The 16,856-nt window shown below is 36.3% G+C and overlaps 1 protein-coding gene and 1 pseudogene across 9 annotated transcripts in view; one reads left to right on the forward strand and one right to left on the reverse strand.

The window, feature by feature from the left end:
• Window positions 1-16,856, forward strand: part of UNC79 (unc-79 subunit of NALCN channel complex) — a 374,695-nt gene that overhangs the window by 92,636 nt on the left and 265,203 nt on the right. For 6 of the 9 annotated variants that reach the window (NM_001395159.1, XM_047431624.1, NM_001346218.2 and 3 more), the window contains exon 1: window positions 5,122-5,234. The exons of 2 other annotated variants lie outside the window; for them this stretch is intronic. In NM_001395159.1, coding sequence (NP_001382088.1) covers window positions 5,213-5,234 — 22 coding nt within the window. In that variant the 5' untranslated portion in view covers window positions 5,122-5,212. Of the gene's footprint in view, window positions 1-4,910; window positions 5,050-5,121; window positions 5,235-16,856 lie in introns of those variants that run through there. One more of the 9 variants, XM_011537026.3, reaches the window with a different exon arrangement.
• RNU6-1258P (RNA, U6 small nuclear 1258, pseudogene) lies at window positions 11,583-11,693 on the reverse strand (annotated as a pseudogene).

Here is a 16,856-nt window from a genome sequence, read left to right on the forward strand (position 1 = left end):
CTATAGAGAAAAAGATTGGTAGGCTGGTTAAACTTGGCTATGTTTACATTTTAAAACTCTTCAGTAAAAGACTCCATAAACAAAGTGAAAAACAAGCTGTAGACTGGGAGAAAATCTGCATTTTCATCTGGTATCATTTTCCTTCAGCCTGAAGAACTTCCATTACTATTTCCTATAGTGCAAGTCTGCTGGTGGCAAATTCTCTCAGTTCTCTTCCATCTGAAAATATTTTTATTTTATTTTCATTATGAAGGACTTTTTTGTGTGTGCCAAATATGCCACTGCATTAACAGTTTTCTTTTTCTTTTTAGTATGGTAAAGATGTTAGTTTATTATCTTCTGATATCCATTGTTTCTGATTGGAAGTCAGTGTTAATTTGCATTGATGTTCCCTGTATGTAATGTGTGTCATTGTATATCATTCTCTGGTTGGTTCCAAGGTTTTCCCTTGTCTTTGTTTTTCAGCATTTTGAATCTGATGTGCTTAAGGCTTGACTTTCATGGTATTTTTCCTGCTTGGGGGTTTGTACTTCTTTTTATATCTGTAAATTTTTTTTGTCACCAAATTTTGGAAAATTTTCAGCCATTATTTCCTTAAATATTTGTTCTTAAATATTTTAAAATAATATATTAATATATTATTAGTATTTTTATCCTCTTCTTCTGTGAGTATAATTATATGTTATAACTTTTGTTATTGTCTCACAGGCCCCAGGCTATGTTCCTTTTCCTCTAATTATTTTTTTCGATCTGTTTTTCAGATTGGATAATTTACAGTGATTTATCTTTAAGCTTACTTCATATTTCATCTATTTTCTACACCCTGCCATTAATATCATCTAGTGAATTTTTTATTTCACATATTGTACTTTTGAGTTCTAAAATTTCCAATGGTTTTTTAAAAATATAGTCTCAATTTCTCTACTGACATCTTTACAATCATTATAAGCATTTTTTTTTCACTGCACTGAGCAGACTTACATGATTTAAAATCTTTGTTAATGATAACATCTGGATCATCTTGGGTTCATTTTCTATTGTCTTTTTTCTTCACCATTGGTCAAGTGGGTCACATTTCCTTGTTTCTTTGTGTGTCATGTAAATTTGGATTGTATCCTGGACATTGTGATTTTAGTGTTGTGGAGACTCTGTATTCTGTTATTTTCCTCTGAAGAGTGTTGACTTTTTTAGCAGGTAACTAACTTAATGGGATATAAACTATAAACTATCAGTTTATTGAATATCAGTTTAGTTCTTGAATCCCTAGTTGGGTTTTTGTTGTTTGCATGCAGGCTTTCACATGTGTGGTTCAGAGATCAGCTAGATATTTGGGCAGAGGTAAATAGGTGATATCTCCTTTACTGTGGCTCTCTCTTTCTCACAGTTCTCCCTTCACTTTCTAGCAGCTATAATTGCTTTTAACTAGGTATTTTGGCATTTTGGGTCAATCAAGCTGTGAGTATGCTATTGGAGTCTTTAATCACTAATTGTATGGGGTGTTCCTCACACATAGTGTTTAATAAACATAATTAAACCAAAATGGAATGTTGAGCATAAAGTGTTAAGTTTTAAAAAGATATGTATAGTGTGGTATTAATTATAGAAAATTAAAAAACATGTAAAATAATATATGTTGCTTATGGAAATAGACATATATGGTGTGTATGTAATTACCCTATCTAAAATTTTATCTCATTCAAAATTTCAAACCCTTCAATACAAACTTTCTCCTTCCCTTTGTGTAATATTTTTCTTTTTAGTACTTGTCAGCACTGAATATATTATGTTTTACTTACTTATTTTTTGTCTTTCCACTAGAATATTAGTTTTAAGAAGCAGATTTTTTTTTTTGTCTTCTCTGTTTGCTACATTATAACAAGTTCCTAGAGCAGTGTTTGACATACATAGGCACTCAATAAGTAGTTGCTGAACAAATAAATAAATAATATAAAATATAAGGACATAACCACAAATTTAGAATAATTTTTTATGGGGGCTTCTAATGTCTCTAAAATGTTTTTTTCTGAAAAGTAAAACAATGCAACATGACAAAATATTAAGATTTGATGAGACTGGGTAGTGGTAACATTAGTGTTCATGATTTTTAAAATATTTCTATGTTTGAATTACTTCATTAAACAATAGAATGGGCAAAAAGTTTGGAGAAGACTTTGAAGAGCATTATGTTATAGAAGTCAAGGGAAGAGGGAATTTCAAAAAGAAATAGGGAGAAATTTCAAATGCTGGCATTAGTCACCAAGAGATAAAGCAATTATAATTTACTATTAGGAAATTATTAGTGACTATTGAAGTAACCTGTTTCAGCCACAATTTGATAGCAGGTAGGGTAGTGAGGAAATGGAGAAATGGAGGCCACTTATTCAGTAAGATGATAGGCACAGCTTTTTGAGGATGAAAAATTTATGCATGTTTGCAAGCAGGATGGGAAAATCCATTGAAAAGATGAGACTTAAAATGCTGGGAAAAAGAAGATAATTAAAATAGCAAATTCTAGAATAAGTAGAAATGTTTATAATTAGAGGCATAGGTTTGGAAAAAAAGGCATTGCATCTGGCAATGAGAAGAGGCACTACCTCTGCAATAGAAGAAAACTAAGCAGGAAGGATTGAGATAGGTGGAGACAGAAGGAAAGGTGAGGGAGTTCATTGAAGTAGTAAGGCCATATGTCGGAATGGTGAAACTGAGTAATGGATATGGCCCAGGTTAGTGAGTTAATGGGCATGTCAGAAGGCTCAAGCTGTGAGTGCCTAGGTTGATGATTAGAGTCTCAATTATATGGGTGCTATCAGGCTTTGGAGGCTCCGAAGCATCAGAACTAACCTGAATGGATTGGGTGCATTTGAGGAGTTTCAGCAGTAATGCTAATAGCAGCCATCACTCATATGTGTCATTGTTCTAGATTCTCATATATATACTTATTTATTCCTGACAACCTTTAATGTGACTATGATATGACCATTTTTCAGGTAAGGCAGTCGAGGCATGGAGAAGTTAAGTAACTTGCACCAGGTTACACAGATCATGAGAGGCAAAGCTGGAATTCAAACCCAGGCTGTCTAACTCCTCAGTCCATGACTTAACACCATTATACTCTCCCTTAACTCAGTAACGGGAGGGTTAATTGATGACAAATGAAAGATTGTTAAGCAGATAAAGGGATAATAGGTTTCCAACACATACTTTGTCCTTTGTTTCTGTATTATCCAAGACACCTCTTTTTCATGTGTGTTAATTTCCAATTACTGTTTTCTTTATCAAAGCCTCAGGCTTCCAAGAATTTTCTGAATAACCCATTGAGCTTTCTTTTAGTCATACAAAGTGTTTGTCATCTTCTCAGGAATGTTCATTATATTCATATTTTCTTTAGAATGATTCCAATTTCTTTTTACTCAGAACGAACTCTTTGGCATCATGCTTCACATAATCATTTATCTTTTACTAATAAATGGAACTTCTCTTTGGGATGTGGTTTTGGGAATGAACAATGACATGGAATGATAGCTGATTAGCCAGAGCAACCTGCCAATCAGCAGGATGTCAGAGTCCAATCACATATGCAACCCAAAGAGCCAATTCACTAACCCTTTATGAACATTTTTGCAAATACCATGAAACTTGAGTGCTGTGTGTGCATCATTATGGGCAGTTTCCCTGTTATTTGTAGATTTTTTTATTTGCTACTCAGAAGCATCTTTCCTTGATGTTTGTTCATAATATTTTTCTTAATTGTCCAAGATTTCACCTGAATAGTTTGATATATTACACAGAATTTAAAATTCTTTCCCTAAATAGGATCTTTTATTCTCTGAGGTGGAAAACATTGATTTATCAGCATTAAAAGTCATTGTCAACACTTACCGTTTTGTTCCTGTAACTTTTACTAAATTAACCTGCTATGACCATGCCCCTCAGCTTTAACAAATTAAACTATTTGAATGAAGAATGGACATAATGGTTGGGGATTGTGCCGTACTTTTAGTTTACAAGGACTTGCGCATCCATTCGATCTGCCCAGTAACTCTTCAGGTGACAGGGCAAGGTTTTAATGTTCCCATTTTACAGATAAAGAACCGGAGGTGTAGGGAGATTAGAAGATGGTCCTTGAGTGAGTAAGTGGTAAAAGTGGGTCTTGAATCTGGTTCTTCCCGACTCCAAGTGTCTCTCCATTCTGTAGTGGATTCTTTGGATATCTTCCTATTAATATGCACGATGCCCTCGTCTATTGCCTTCCTTTCCCGCTGCCTTCGGTTTTCCAGTCGAGGGGCTTCCTAATGTGTCCCTGTCCAGCTGGGATGGCTGCAAGGGAGCACACCTGGGGTCTTCCTGTCTTCAGTCTTTCATCTTCCTTTTCTGTGGCCCTTCCAGCTTCACCATCCGTGGACATCTCCTCCTTCCTTCAGCCCCAACTTCTAAAGTCTTGTCACAGCCCCCTGGCAGTGGGACCTCCCATCCCCAATCATCAGCAGGAGAGCCCATCGCAGAGGGGAGGCGAGGGCAGGGACCGCAGCGCACAGGGAAGCCATGCTGAGGGTTCCTCCTGCATTTTCTTCCTCGCGGTCCTCAGGAACATCCTCGCGCCCTCCGGCCCCGGCGCTCCAGCCCGCCCCGGATCCGCCTCCCTCTCCTTCCTCCCCGAGGTTGAGACGAAGCGTGGGACGCACCTGGGTCCCTCTCTGGTCACCCTGCTGAGGCTCCGGGGGCTGCTCCGGGAGCAGGATTTACAGGCCCGGAGAACGCCAATGGGAGATCCAAATGGTCGGGGACTCCGGCGCTTTAAGAGGCTTTTCTCTGGGAAACACCCGTCCCCTCCGTGCGCCTTATGAATGGAAATACTCCTCCCCCGGTCGAGCCCATTTTCCCATTTCACCAGGAGCCGCAGCCTGCTCTCTCCTTTCGGTCTCCCCGCCCACATCAACGCGGGCAGCTCCAGGAGGGGACGGACAGGAAGCCTTTGGCCGCCTATTAAATCCCACCCATTTCTCCGGGGGCGATTTCCTAACCTTCCGGGACCGAATTCTGCAATTTGATGTGCGTTTTGTCCGAATGGTAGCGACACGGGCCTAAGGGAGGGGGAAAGCGAGGGGGTGGGGGGTGGGGGGTATGCACTCTTTTCCTCGCAACATCGCTGGCGGAGCGAGGGAGCTCACACGACACAGATTTTGGGGCAAAGCCTTTCCAACTGGACAGCACCATGTCCACCAAAGCGGAGCAGTGTAAGTAGCAGCCGGCCCGGCATTCCGGCCCGGCCTCGGCTGGGAGCTATTGCAGCTGCGGCGTTTGCGGCTGCTGGGAGACCTTGGCATTGTGCTGGTGCGGGGGTGGGGGCTGAGGTTGGGGCGGGTGGGGGGTGGCGGAGAGAGAAGGTGGGGGAGGGTGGACGTTAATGGCAGCGCGGCGCTGTCCCCGGTGCTGAAAAATAATACGGTCTTCCTCGGGCTCCAGCGGGGGTTTCTCAAGACTCAGAGACCCTGCGAAATGAAATTAAAATGGGGTCATTCTCGGGAAAAAGAGGCCTCGTATCTTTCAGATAAACATTTCAGTATCTCTTGTTGGAGTGGGGGAAGGGGGGTAGCGGCAAATCAGGGGCGGGGAACTGTCAGTTGCAACCAAAGCCTGCCTGGCCTTCTGAGCATGCCCAGTTCTTGGTGCTGGAGCCATAGGGGAGTTTGAGTCTGCAGTTTCCACTTCGGGTGGAAGAGGCAAGAAGGGAGAGAAGGGGGAGGGAGCAGGGAGCCAGGCAAGAGGAAAATTAACTCACTAATGCCAACACCAATGTCAAAACCAACCACAACCATGCGGTGCTTACAAGAAAGTGAAAGGAGCTCTGGGAAAATGACCTAATTGATCTAATTATTGTTCCAAAGAGCAGGCTTCCTTTGTAGGGCAGCCCATAGCACCGGAGGATTTTGGTTGTCCCAGTAATGACTGACTGTGTGCGTGGTTGGAAGCAACCTGCTAACTCCTTGTGGATGGAGTAAGTTTCTAATATGGTTCCCATAGTCTGTCTTATTGCAGTGCGCACTAGTAGGCCTTCGGTGTGTGCTTGGTAGGTTGATCAATGTGAAGCCTTTTTCCGAGTACACTTGAGGGCTTGAGGGATTCAGGAGCTTAAACTTCAGATTGTAAATAAAAGACGTTTTTATTAAGCAGTAAGTTTGAATTTTTAACAATATACCAGAACTTATTCACCTAGATTGACTCCTTTCTTCCAAAGCAGTACACGTTATATGGATAATGCTGTCACTACTTAAAAGTCTTTGTAATTCTTCTTTGGAATGGCTACTAAAGCCGGTTTTTGAGACACACAAAACAGTAGTCTCATTATTTGAGGGCAATATCTTATATATGATAAAATGCAGTATGTCATTTATTCACCAGATAAATTAAATAAACTGAAGGCTTATAGAATTCTCAGATTGATGGTTCATTAGAAATTGTGCATGCCCACCTACCACCCAGTGCTTTTACTTCTTTATGTTTTTTTGGAATCCGGAAGATCTGAGTTTCAATCTTAGTTTTGCTACTGTTTGACCTTGGGCAAGATAATTGACCTCTCTGAACTTTATTTCCTCATCTGTAAACCTGGGCTAATCATGCTGATGGGGTTGTTGTGGGGAATGAGAGAATACATATAAAAGGTTTAGTAATGAGCCTAGCACATAGAATGTACTCAATAAATGATGGCTATGATAATGACAAGCATTGCCCACTTTTAAATAGTCCATCTCCTCTAAATAGTTAGGAAGCTCTCTTGTGATTTTTTTTGCATGTTTCTGAAAGTTAAATCTACATTCAAAATTAAGTTTTGCTTTTACAGAGGTTTTTGAAAAAAATTGGGTGCATTCTGTTTTGAGGAATGGTAACATAGTTTGAGTCCATGTAGAACCTCCCACTTGAGAATATCACATCCTGATATTATAATAAAGCCAAGTGGTTTTATTATAGTATGGTTTTTAAAGGAAAAAACACCACCTGTCATTTGATTGTGTAGTTACATATTACGTAAGTAATTTCAGGCTAAAGCCAGTGAGTATTACTGTCCTCTTCCTGTGTTTTCTCTTCCTTGTTACATTTTGAAATGGACTGGATGCTTTGTCTTGTCTCTTTCCTGGGCAATGAATAAAATCTATCTATGGACTTGATTCTGTAGAGCAATTAGTGGACTTAAGTAGCTATTTTAGACGTGTTAGTGAAACAGATTTTTTTCATCTGTAGAGGATGAAAAGGACACCATATCTGGAGCTAGAACATGTGGACTTGAGCTTTGTATGTCCTTCTGATTAATTGTGAGACACGGGGCAATTAACTTAATAGTTTTGTGCCTCAGAGTTTCCATCTTTAAAGTAAGGAATTGTAGTAGGAGCTATCTTTGCTTTAGTCTTAAGGGTTTGGAGGGCAAAGGAGGTAAATGGGAGTAGGCTGTGGAAAGGTTAAGGATGCTATGGATGTTTTTAGATATCTGTATTTAGAATGAAGGTAATTAAGGAATCTCTTTTCTTTTTCTGTTAATATGCACTAACATGAGTGGATTGACATTTTCGTGTATGTTATGTACCTGAAAATAAAGCAAAAACACAATAGGCTGCATAGTTGATGTTCATGAAGGACAAATACTTTTTATAAAAAGAACGCAGATTGGCAGCATTTTATCCTTGGACTTGGTAGAAGTTTAGCTACGTGTAAGGAGCAAGAGAAGGAAAGGTCAGGGAATTTTTTTTTTTCTTCTACTGGGTGTGAAGACTACTGGATAAGGAGAGAATGGGAGAGCTCGTTTCTCCTCTGCATTCAGGATGCACATTACCACTTTCCTAAGGACTGAGGAGGGAGAATTAGGCTTAATATAATGTCAAAATATTATTTCTATTACTCTTCTTCTTGGAGCTTCTTGATGTTGATAAAGGTTTCACTGGTTTGACAAGTAGACATAGTTTTGTTGGACCAGCAAGAGAAAGTACTTGCATTTCAACCCAAACCAGCTTACTCGATTTACCTTTGAAATGTAATGTATCACAGAGATATGAAAAATGATTTCTGTTTTATGTAGTGGCATTTTCTTTTGTGAGATAAGTAATAGTGATGAAGGAGAAGCTAGTGGCCGGGCGCAGTGGCTCACGCCTGTAATCCCAGCACTTTGGGAGGCCGAGGCAGGTGGATCACCTGGGGTCGGGAGTTCGAGACCAGCCTGACCAACATGGAGAAACCCCATCTCTACTAAAAATACAAAATTAGCCTGGCATGGTGGTGCATGTCTGTAATCCCAGCTACTCAGGAGGCTGAGGCAGGAGAATCACCTGAACCTGGGAGGCGGAGATTGCTATGAGTAGAGATTGTGCCATTGCACTCCAGCCTGGGAAACCAGAGCAAAACTCCGTCTCAAAAAGAAAAAAAAAAAGAAAAGAAAAAAAAGAAGCAGCAGCAGCTAGTTTTTGGAGCCTTTAAAAAATATTCAATCTGTTTCCTGTGCTATCTGCAGAGCCTCAAAACAGGAGGTGAAAGCTTCCTAGCACTTTCTCAGGTGATTGCAGAAGAGTTAAATTTTTTTTTTCTCCAAATGCTTCTTTTTCTTACAAAGTTCACTGTAGTGAAAATGTTTGCATAGCTGATATAGAATTTGGAATGATAAAAATGAAATTTATTTGGAATTCTAAAGAGGAGTCCCACTCCCTCCACCCCAAACTTTTTCTGTCTTCTAAGAATCAAAATTGACCAATCGGGATCACCTTGGGTATGCTCTTTCAAAAGAAGCTCTGCTTTTGGTAACAGCAGACATTCAGAGTTGGGGTTCTAGAATCAGACTGCTGCCTGGGTTTGAATCCTGGCTTTGCTCCCTGTAAACTCTGTGACCTTAGATAAGTTAATGTCTCTAAGCCCTGACTACATCCTCTATAAAATGGGGATAGTTATAGTTGTTGTGAAGATTAAATGAGGTGATTCATGAACAGTGCTTAGCAGAGAATCCTGGCACATAATGAGGACTTAATAAATGTTAACAATTATTATCATCATCATCATCATCAAATATAAAACCTTATGCTTGCTGCCAAAATGGAGATAATTGTGAAGTTTGGATCTAGCCTCCCAGTAACCAAAAATATTTTTGATTACATCAAAGATAAACAATTTTAAGAGTGTAGCTGATTAGCACTATGACTTGAAGTTGAACTTGCCCCTCTCCCATGTATATGTAAGGGCCATGCATGGAGAAATCAATAGATAGTTTTCTTTATTTTTTGCACATTATATGGTAATATCACTAAAATAGAAAAGTACTTCTCCTTTCAATAGCACTGCAGTTGTAGTCATTTAGAAATCTTTTCACAAGAATATTGCAAACTTCTTATAGAGGAAACTCTATTACAGTTTTATTCATATTATGCAAAAATTAGAATGTGCCTATTATAACCATTTTTGTGGTTGCAAAAAGAAGAATAGCTTTTAGCTCTCGTCTTACATGACTTCTCTGTATCATTTGACACTAGTTGCTGCATTCCTGATTTAAACTCCTTTTCTTCTTTCTTTTCTGGCTGTTCCCACTCAGATTTTTTCTTAGGGCTGTCTTCTTCCTGCCTTTTGAAAATTAGCTTCGCACAGGAATCTGTCATTAGTCCTCTCTCTCACTCTTTTTTAAAATCCCACAGACTCTTGACCACATTCACTTGCATGGTATCATCTACGAGGATGCCTCCCACATACAATTTTCTAGTCCACAAACGTTTTTGGAAGTACAGTCCTCTATCTCTACCCAAGCATCTTATACATACCACCCAAATTCATTGTCCTTTGTTCCAACCTTGTACTTCTTTTTAGATCAGTCATTTTGGTAAATGACACTTCCTTGCTCATTTATCCAAGTCAAAAAATCAGTCTTCCTAAACTTTTTACTCTCTGCCATAACTATTCAACACATTCCCAAGCCTTGTTGATTCTAGCTCGTCAACAATCTCTGCTTTACCTCTTCAATGCAGTTACAATGAACTATTTTTTCAGTTCCTCCAATGCATCATGTTCTTTTTGCCTGAAATGTTTTCTTCCCCCTCATCGTCTTGGCCTGTCTAATGCCTACTTACTGCTCAATACTTAGCTTTGAAACCTTGCCTGATTGCCACTTTCTCCCTATATGCCCTATTTGTGTGGTCACACTATATTTCAATTAGTTTCTTGTTAGTTGCCTTAATTTACTTTGTGTGTAGATTGTATTATGTTCCTCTCTGTGTCTCCAGTGTGCAATCCCTTGTCCAGTGCATAGTGTTTGCACAAAAATCATTTCTTGAAAAAGTAAAAATGACTGAGGGTGGATGAAATGCCTTTTATAAGGAAGGATTACATAACCAAGTGTTTGGATATCATTAATTTGAAGATTTTACATTTTTGTTAATATGAAGTTCTGCATTCTATGCAATGTGAACATTGCACAAAATGCATGCTTTTCAAATGGATTTACAGGTAAATAAAACTACAGTTGTCAAAAGTACTTAAAATATATTTGCTAAATCAAATGTTACAGTATTTATACAACATGTTACACATTTCTTAAACATTCATTGTGGTTTTGATTCTGTCCGATTAGCTAAATTTTCCTTTTACTATATTCAAAATAATAATTATGATTCTTAAAGTGGTAGGCAGTTTTAGCACACAGCCAACTGTTTTTTTTTTAAGATAAAGTGGCAATATATCTAAAGTCAGGGCCTCTTCAGACCAGTTTTACTTGGATGCTGTTCAAGTTTTATGTATTGATTACTCAACCAATAAATAAGCTTTAAGTTGGGATTCTTGTTTTGCAGTAGTATTATGTTGGAAATTCATATGCATTTGTTTCTTACATTTTGAAAATATATGGATAGCTCTGCATAAATAAACATATATATTGGCTTAGAAATGAAATATTTCCTGTATCAAAAAGTGCATTAAGCAAAAAATATATTCTTATCAATACTCTTGCTTTCTGTAATGTGAAAAGCTCAACAATTTCATTTAGAACTTTTAGCTTCTTTCAGTCCATTTATTCTATTTGTGTCTTGTTTTTCTCTCCTTCTGGACTTTTCAAGACCAATGTTACCAACAGCATACAGCTTATCATGTGAGTCTCATTTGATATTTGATGTGGGATTAAAACTGGAGTGGTGTTCAGCATTTCAGGGTATCTTTCATTTTCATTGGTCTCAGGAACTTGGTCTTCCAATAGAATAAAATTAAAAGGATATGTGTGTGTGTATACATATATATTTATGTATATATACATGCACAAATGCATGTGTATATACATATACATTTATGTATATGTTATTTTATTTTAAGAATAAATCAGCTTGCCTCAGAAGTAGAAATAGATAATAACTCACAAACAGTTTAGCATGTCAGGATTATATGTGCTTGAATCTTAAGCTCTCCAGGAAAGACAGTTTAGATATTTATTGCTTGTGCCTACTAGGTACTAGGCACTTTGGTATATATTGGCTTAATTCATTTTCATAACAGCTTTGAGAGATGTGTTATTATACTTTGGTTTTATTTCTTCAATGTTCCTCAAGTACCTTAATTCCTATTTCTTCTTTTTATTTTTTTATACAGAACTTTTCACAGATTTATGTGTCATCCTTGCGCAAGGGTCATGCGAGTCTTTTGCATATCATTCTAATATTTTCAGTGAGCACTTACCCTCTATCTGTGCAGCTGAAAGTCTTAGGGCTTTGTTTAACGCTGTATTAGTTTTCTAGAGCTGCTGTAATGAATTAGCACAGACTAGGTGGTGTAAAACAACTGAAGATTATTCTCTTACAGTTCTGGAAGCCAGAAGTCTGAAATCAAAGCGTTGGCAGGGCTGTGCTCTCTCTGCAGGCTCTAGGGAAAAATCTCCCTTCCTTGTGTCCTAGCTTCTGGGGGTTTCTGGCAATCTTTGGCATTCCTTGGTTGTAGCAGCATCACGCCAATCTCTGCCTCCATCTTTACACAGCCTGTGTCTCTGTATCCAAACCTCTCTCTCCTTCCTCTTATAAACACACGTCATTTGATTTAGAGCCCACCTTAATCCAGTATGACCTTATCTTAACTTGATTATATCTGCAAAGACCCTATTTCCAAATGAGGTCACATTCACAGTACCAGGATTAAGACTTGAACATATCTTTTGGGGGATACAATTCAAACCACTACAAACCTTATTACATTTTGTCTTATTAATGTTATTTCATTGTTATGTCTGATTCTGTAATCCAACATATTAGCTATTCTTCCATTGGTTTTGTGTCAACTACCAAAACAATATGCATTCCTATATGAAGTATCCAAAATAAAAATGTTGACAAAAAGAAAGAAGCACCAAAGCCCTGTGAGTGTCATGCTATTAAATAACTTTTTTCAAGTTGGCTTTGAGCCTCTAATCAATATATTTTAAATGTGAGTTTCACTAGATACAAATCTATCCTGTCATGGTACCACTCAATCTATATATTTCATCAACTTGTCTATTCACTTATTCAACCAATATTTATTGGGTGTCTACTATGTATCAAGCACTGTGCTAGGCTCTAGAGGAGCTTACAGTTGACTCTCCAAGTGCATCCTACTTTGCTGAGATGTATACACTCTCTACAACTTTTCTTTGATGCCCTGTCTAGATCTCTAAAAAAATAGGAAGTTGAAATGAACTTGGGATGACTTATTCACAGGGAGCCAACAATTGCTCCTGTGGTCATTACTACTCTTTATTTTAACTGGAGGCTAAAATTTTTGTGGGGAATTTTCTAAGAATCTCCACTCTCCCATTCAACATTGTTCTTAAAAAATAATGTTTCAAGCAGGTTTCACTGGCTTTCTTTTACGTTCTTTTTTTTTTTTTCACGTAACCCTCATTGCGTTAGATCTTTTTCATTCTTCCAAAATAATTTTATAAACAAGTTGAATAACTCCAGGAAAAAGCCTCATAGTATTTTTGTGAGTATCATATTACTTTTATAGAATAACTTACTTTAGGAAGAATTGACATCTTTCTGATATTGAATCTTACTCTTTCTAAGAACATGGTATGTCTTTCCATTTGTTCAAGTCTGTGCCTTTCTTGGGGTGCTTTTTTCTCATATAGATTTTGGAATTTCTTATAGAGCTCTTGCTTAGTATTTTCTTTCGTCATTTTTTGCCATCATAATTGAGATGTATCATTTCTTCTATTTTAAAATTTTGAATACATGAAGGCTATTGAGTTTTTGTATGCTGATTTTATAACTTTATTTTACTAAATTATTTTCTTTTTGTAGTCATTTTTCCATCTATTCTTTTGGGTTTTCAAGATATACAATTGTATGCTCTGCAAATAGAAAATAGTTTTGTCCTTTCTTTTCTACTCAATTTTTATGCCTCTAATTGCTTTCTTGTTTTCTGATTGCATTGGTCAGTATCTCCAATACAGTGTGAAATATAGCAGAGAGAGTGGGTGTTCTTGGCTTGTATTTTACTTTAGTAGGAAAATCTCTTGTATTTCTAAGTAAGATATTATTTTGGGCTGAGGTAATATACTAGGCAGTATCTGTCAATTCTTATTTTGTTAAGTTTTTTTTTTAAACCGAAATGGGTGTTGAGTCAAGTTTATTTTCTGCATCTATGGAGACCATATTGCTTCCTCTCTTAACTTTATTAATATGCTTGGTTGAATTTCATCATATTTTAAGAATTTTTGCATTGATATTAATAAGTTAGATTGTTTCATAGGTGTTTTTCTGGGGGGTAGAGTGGGAAGTAATTTTATTCAGGACCTGGGAACAATGTGATACTCACTACATAAAGTGAGCCTGGAAATTTTGCTTCCTTTCTAAACTTTGGAATAATATAATAGCATTGGTGTTATCTGATCTTTAAAAGTTTTTTAGAGTTCCCCTGTAAAACAATCTGGCCTGTGCTTTTTTTGTAGTGGAACTCTTTAACTTCTTTCTCTATTTGTTGTATGACACTTGTTCTATTTAGACTTTCTGTTTCTACTGGGGTCAATTTTGGTAAGTTTTATTTCTCTAAAAAATTATGCATTTCATCTAAGTTTTCAAATTTGTTTGCATAGAATTATGCAAATGACTATCTTAGAAATTTTAAAAATTCCTCTGTTTTGATGTTTATTTTCTGCTTGTCATTTCTAATGCATACAGTTGGCCCTCTGTATCTGGTGGTTTTTGCATCCATGGATTCAACCAACAGTAGATCAAAAATATTTGGGAAAAAAACAATAAAAAATAGTACAATAAAAAAATACAGTGGGGTATGACAACTATTCCTATAGGATGATATTTTATTCGGTATTATAAAACAGAGATGATTTAAAGTATACAGGAGGATGTGCATAGGTTATATGCAAATACTATATAATTTTATAAAAAGGACTTGAACATCCAAGGATTTTGGTACCTGCAGAAGGTTAGGGGTGGGGGTGGGTCCAGGAACCAATCCCTGGTGGATACTGAGGGATGACTGTATTTAATGTTGTGTATTTGTGCTGTCTCTCCTGCCCCCTTTAAAAAATTGGGTTAGTGGTTTGTCTATTTTGTCGATTTCTTTTTCAAGAAACCAGTTATTTTTATTTATTTATTACTTCTAGTTTTTGGCATTTCTAAATTAATTTCAGTTTTTATTATTAATTTCTGATTATTTTTTCCTTGATTTCTTTGTTTTATTTTGTATTCCTCTAGCTTTTTGAGTTGGCTGTTAATTTTTTTTTTTTTTTAAATTTTTATTGAGATAGGCATTTCATGCAATATATTTTTCTTTGACACTTCCTTTAGTTGTAGCCTACAGATTCTGGTAATGTCAGGCTTTATTATAACTATTTTCAAGAAATTCTGCAATTGAATTTTGTATATTTGCCTTTGACCTAAGAGTGGTTTAAAAGTGCATAAATTTCCATGTGGAAGGGCATTTTTGTTTCTCTGTTGTGTTGTTGATTTCTAATTTTATTGCCTTATGGTCTGAGGATACTATTTACATTATTTCTATTCTGTAGCACATTGAGGTTTTTGCTGTGTCATAAGATTTAGTCAGTTTTTGTGAATACCACATATGTACTTAAAAAGAAGTTGTAATCTCTATTATTATTGATACAATAATATGAGTTTGATGTATATCTATAAGATCTACCTTGTAATGTTGTTTAGGTCTTTTATACCTTTTATTAATTTTTAGTCCACTTGATCTTGGATTGTGAGAGGTATGTTAAAGTCTCCTATTATTAGTGTGTTTCTGTCTATTTCTTCTTGCATCTTCTGTAGGTTGCTGCTTAATCGAAGTTATTACTGTGTTACTGGGTGCATAAATACTAATAACTAATATCTTCATTGTGAATTGTAGCCTTAAACATTATAAAGGGCACTTCTTTATCTATTTTAATGCTTTCTGGTCTGAATTCCACCTTGTCAGATATTAAGATTATGACCCCGTTTTCTTTTTATTTGTGTTTGCCTGATATATCTTTTGCCATCCTTTTATTTTTAACTCTTTTGAATCTCTTTGTTTTAGATGTGTCTCTTGTATTCTGCATAGTGTTGGATTTTGCTTTGTTAGCCAATCTGAAAATCCTTTTCTTTTAATAGGTGAGTTAAGCCCTTTTACATCTATTGATATGATTAATATGTTTGGCCTCAGTTCTATCATATTATTTTATTTTTATGTATTTTATATCTAAACTCTTTCATTATGCAGTGGGTTTTATTTGCTCATTTTTTTCTTTTGGTTAACTTTATACTAAGACTTCTACATAATACTGCTAGTCCTCTTGTTTTTGGACTAACTAGTTCCCTACATTGAATAATATTGCAATTAGCTTCTAACCTCTTCTCTCTACCCTCCTTCTAACCCAGTATCTGATATACAATAGTGTCATTTTGTTTACAATTAATACCCATTAGACAATCATATCCATATGCCCTCCATGCCTCCTGATTTTTGATAATTGTATTTTAGCTGCTATATTTTCTTTCTTATAATCATGGTTTAGCTTTGTTTCTCAGATAAATTTATATTTAATACTCATCACTCATTCTTATACTGCTGTCTTTCAGTCTTTTTGGTTGTCTTAATCGCCATTTCTAATAGATCCTTTAGGAAGGGCTTACAGAATCAATTATTGCCTGAGTTTTGGCAAGTTTATAATAGTTTGCAACTTTGTACTTGGAGGTCAGCTTGGGTGGACATAAAATCTTTGACTTATATTTCGCCAACTTGAGTATTTTAAATTTGTCACATCATTTTTTTTGGCATTAAGGATTGGTGAAAAGTCCAGTGACAATCTTGTTTTCTTAGTGGCTTAGTCTTTTTTTTTAATCTCCTTTTAAGTAGCCTTAACTATAATATGATTCATTGTTGGGTCATGCTGAAATGATTGCAGTATGTCCTTTCAATAAGTTCAAGATGTTTTTTTAATTTTAGGAAATACAGTTTCTGGAGATACAGTTTTAATACTTGTTTTGTTCCATTGTTTGGCATTTTCTCTTGAGATCCCTATCGTACACATGTTGGGTGTTTTTTGCTTATCTTCTGTAGGATCATTTTCTACTGTACGTTTTAAAAATCTCTTCCTTTATTTCTTTTAGAGTTTTTTTAGAATTACCCACACAATATACCTTTATTAGTCTACATGTGAACTAGCTTATTCTTGGTGATTCTGCATGTATATAGAACTATGTATTTATTTAGGCCTTATTTTGAAATGTTAAATATAAAGTTGATAACATTCAGTTGAATATTATCTTATTTTGCATAAATTCAACTTATTCATTATAAGTACAAGCATTTGACTACTATCACCATGTCTTCTAATGTAGACACGCCCAAATACATACATATTAAGATACGTCATTTTA

The sequence above is a fragment of the Homo sapiens genome, chromosome 14, assembly GCF_000001405.40.
Source record: "Homo sapiens chromosome 14, GRCh38.p14 Primary Assembly".
In the NCBI taxonomy this organism is placed as follows: Eukaryota; Metazoa; Chordata; class Mammalia; order Primates; family Hominidae; genus Homo; species Homo sapiens.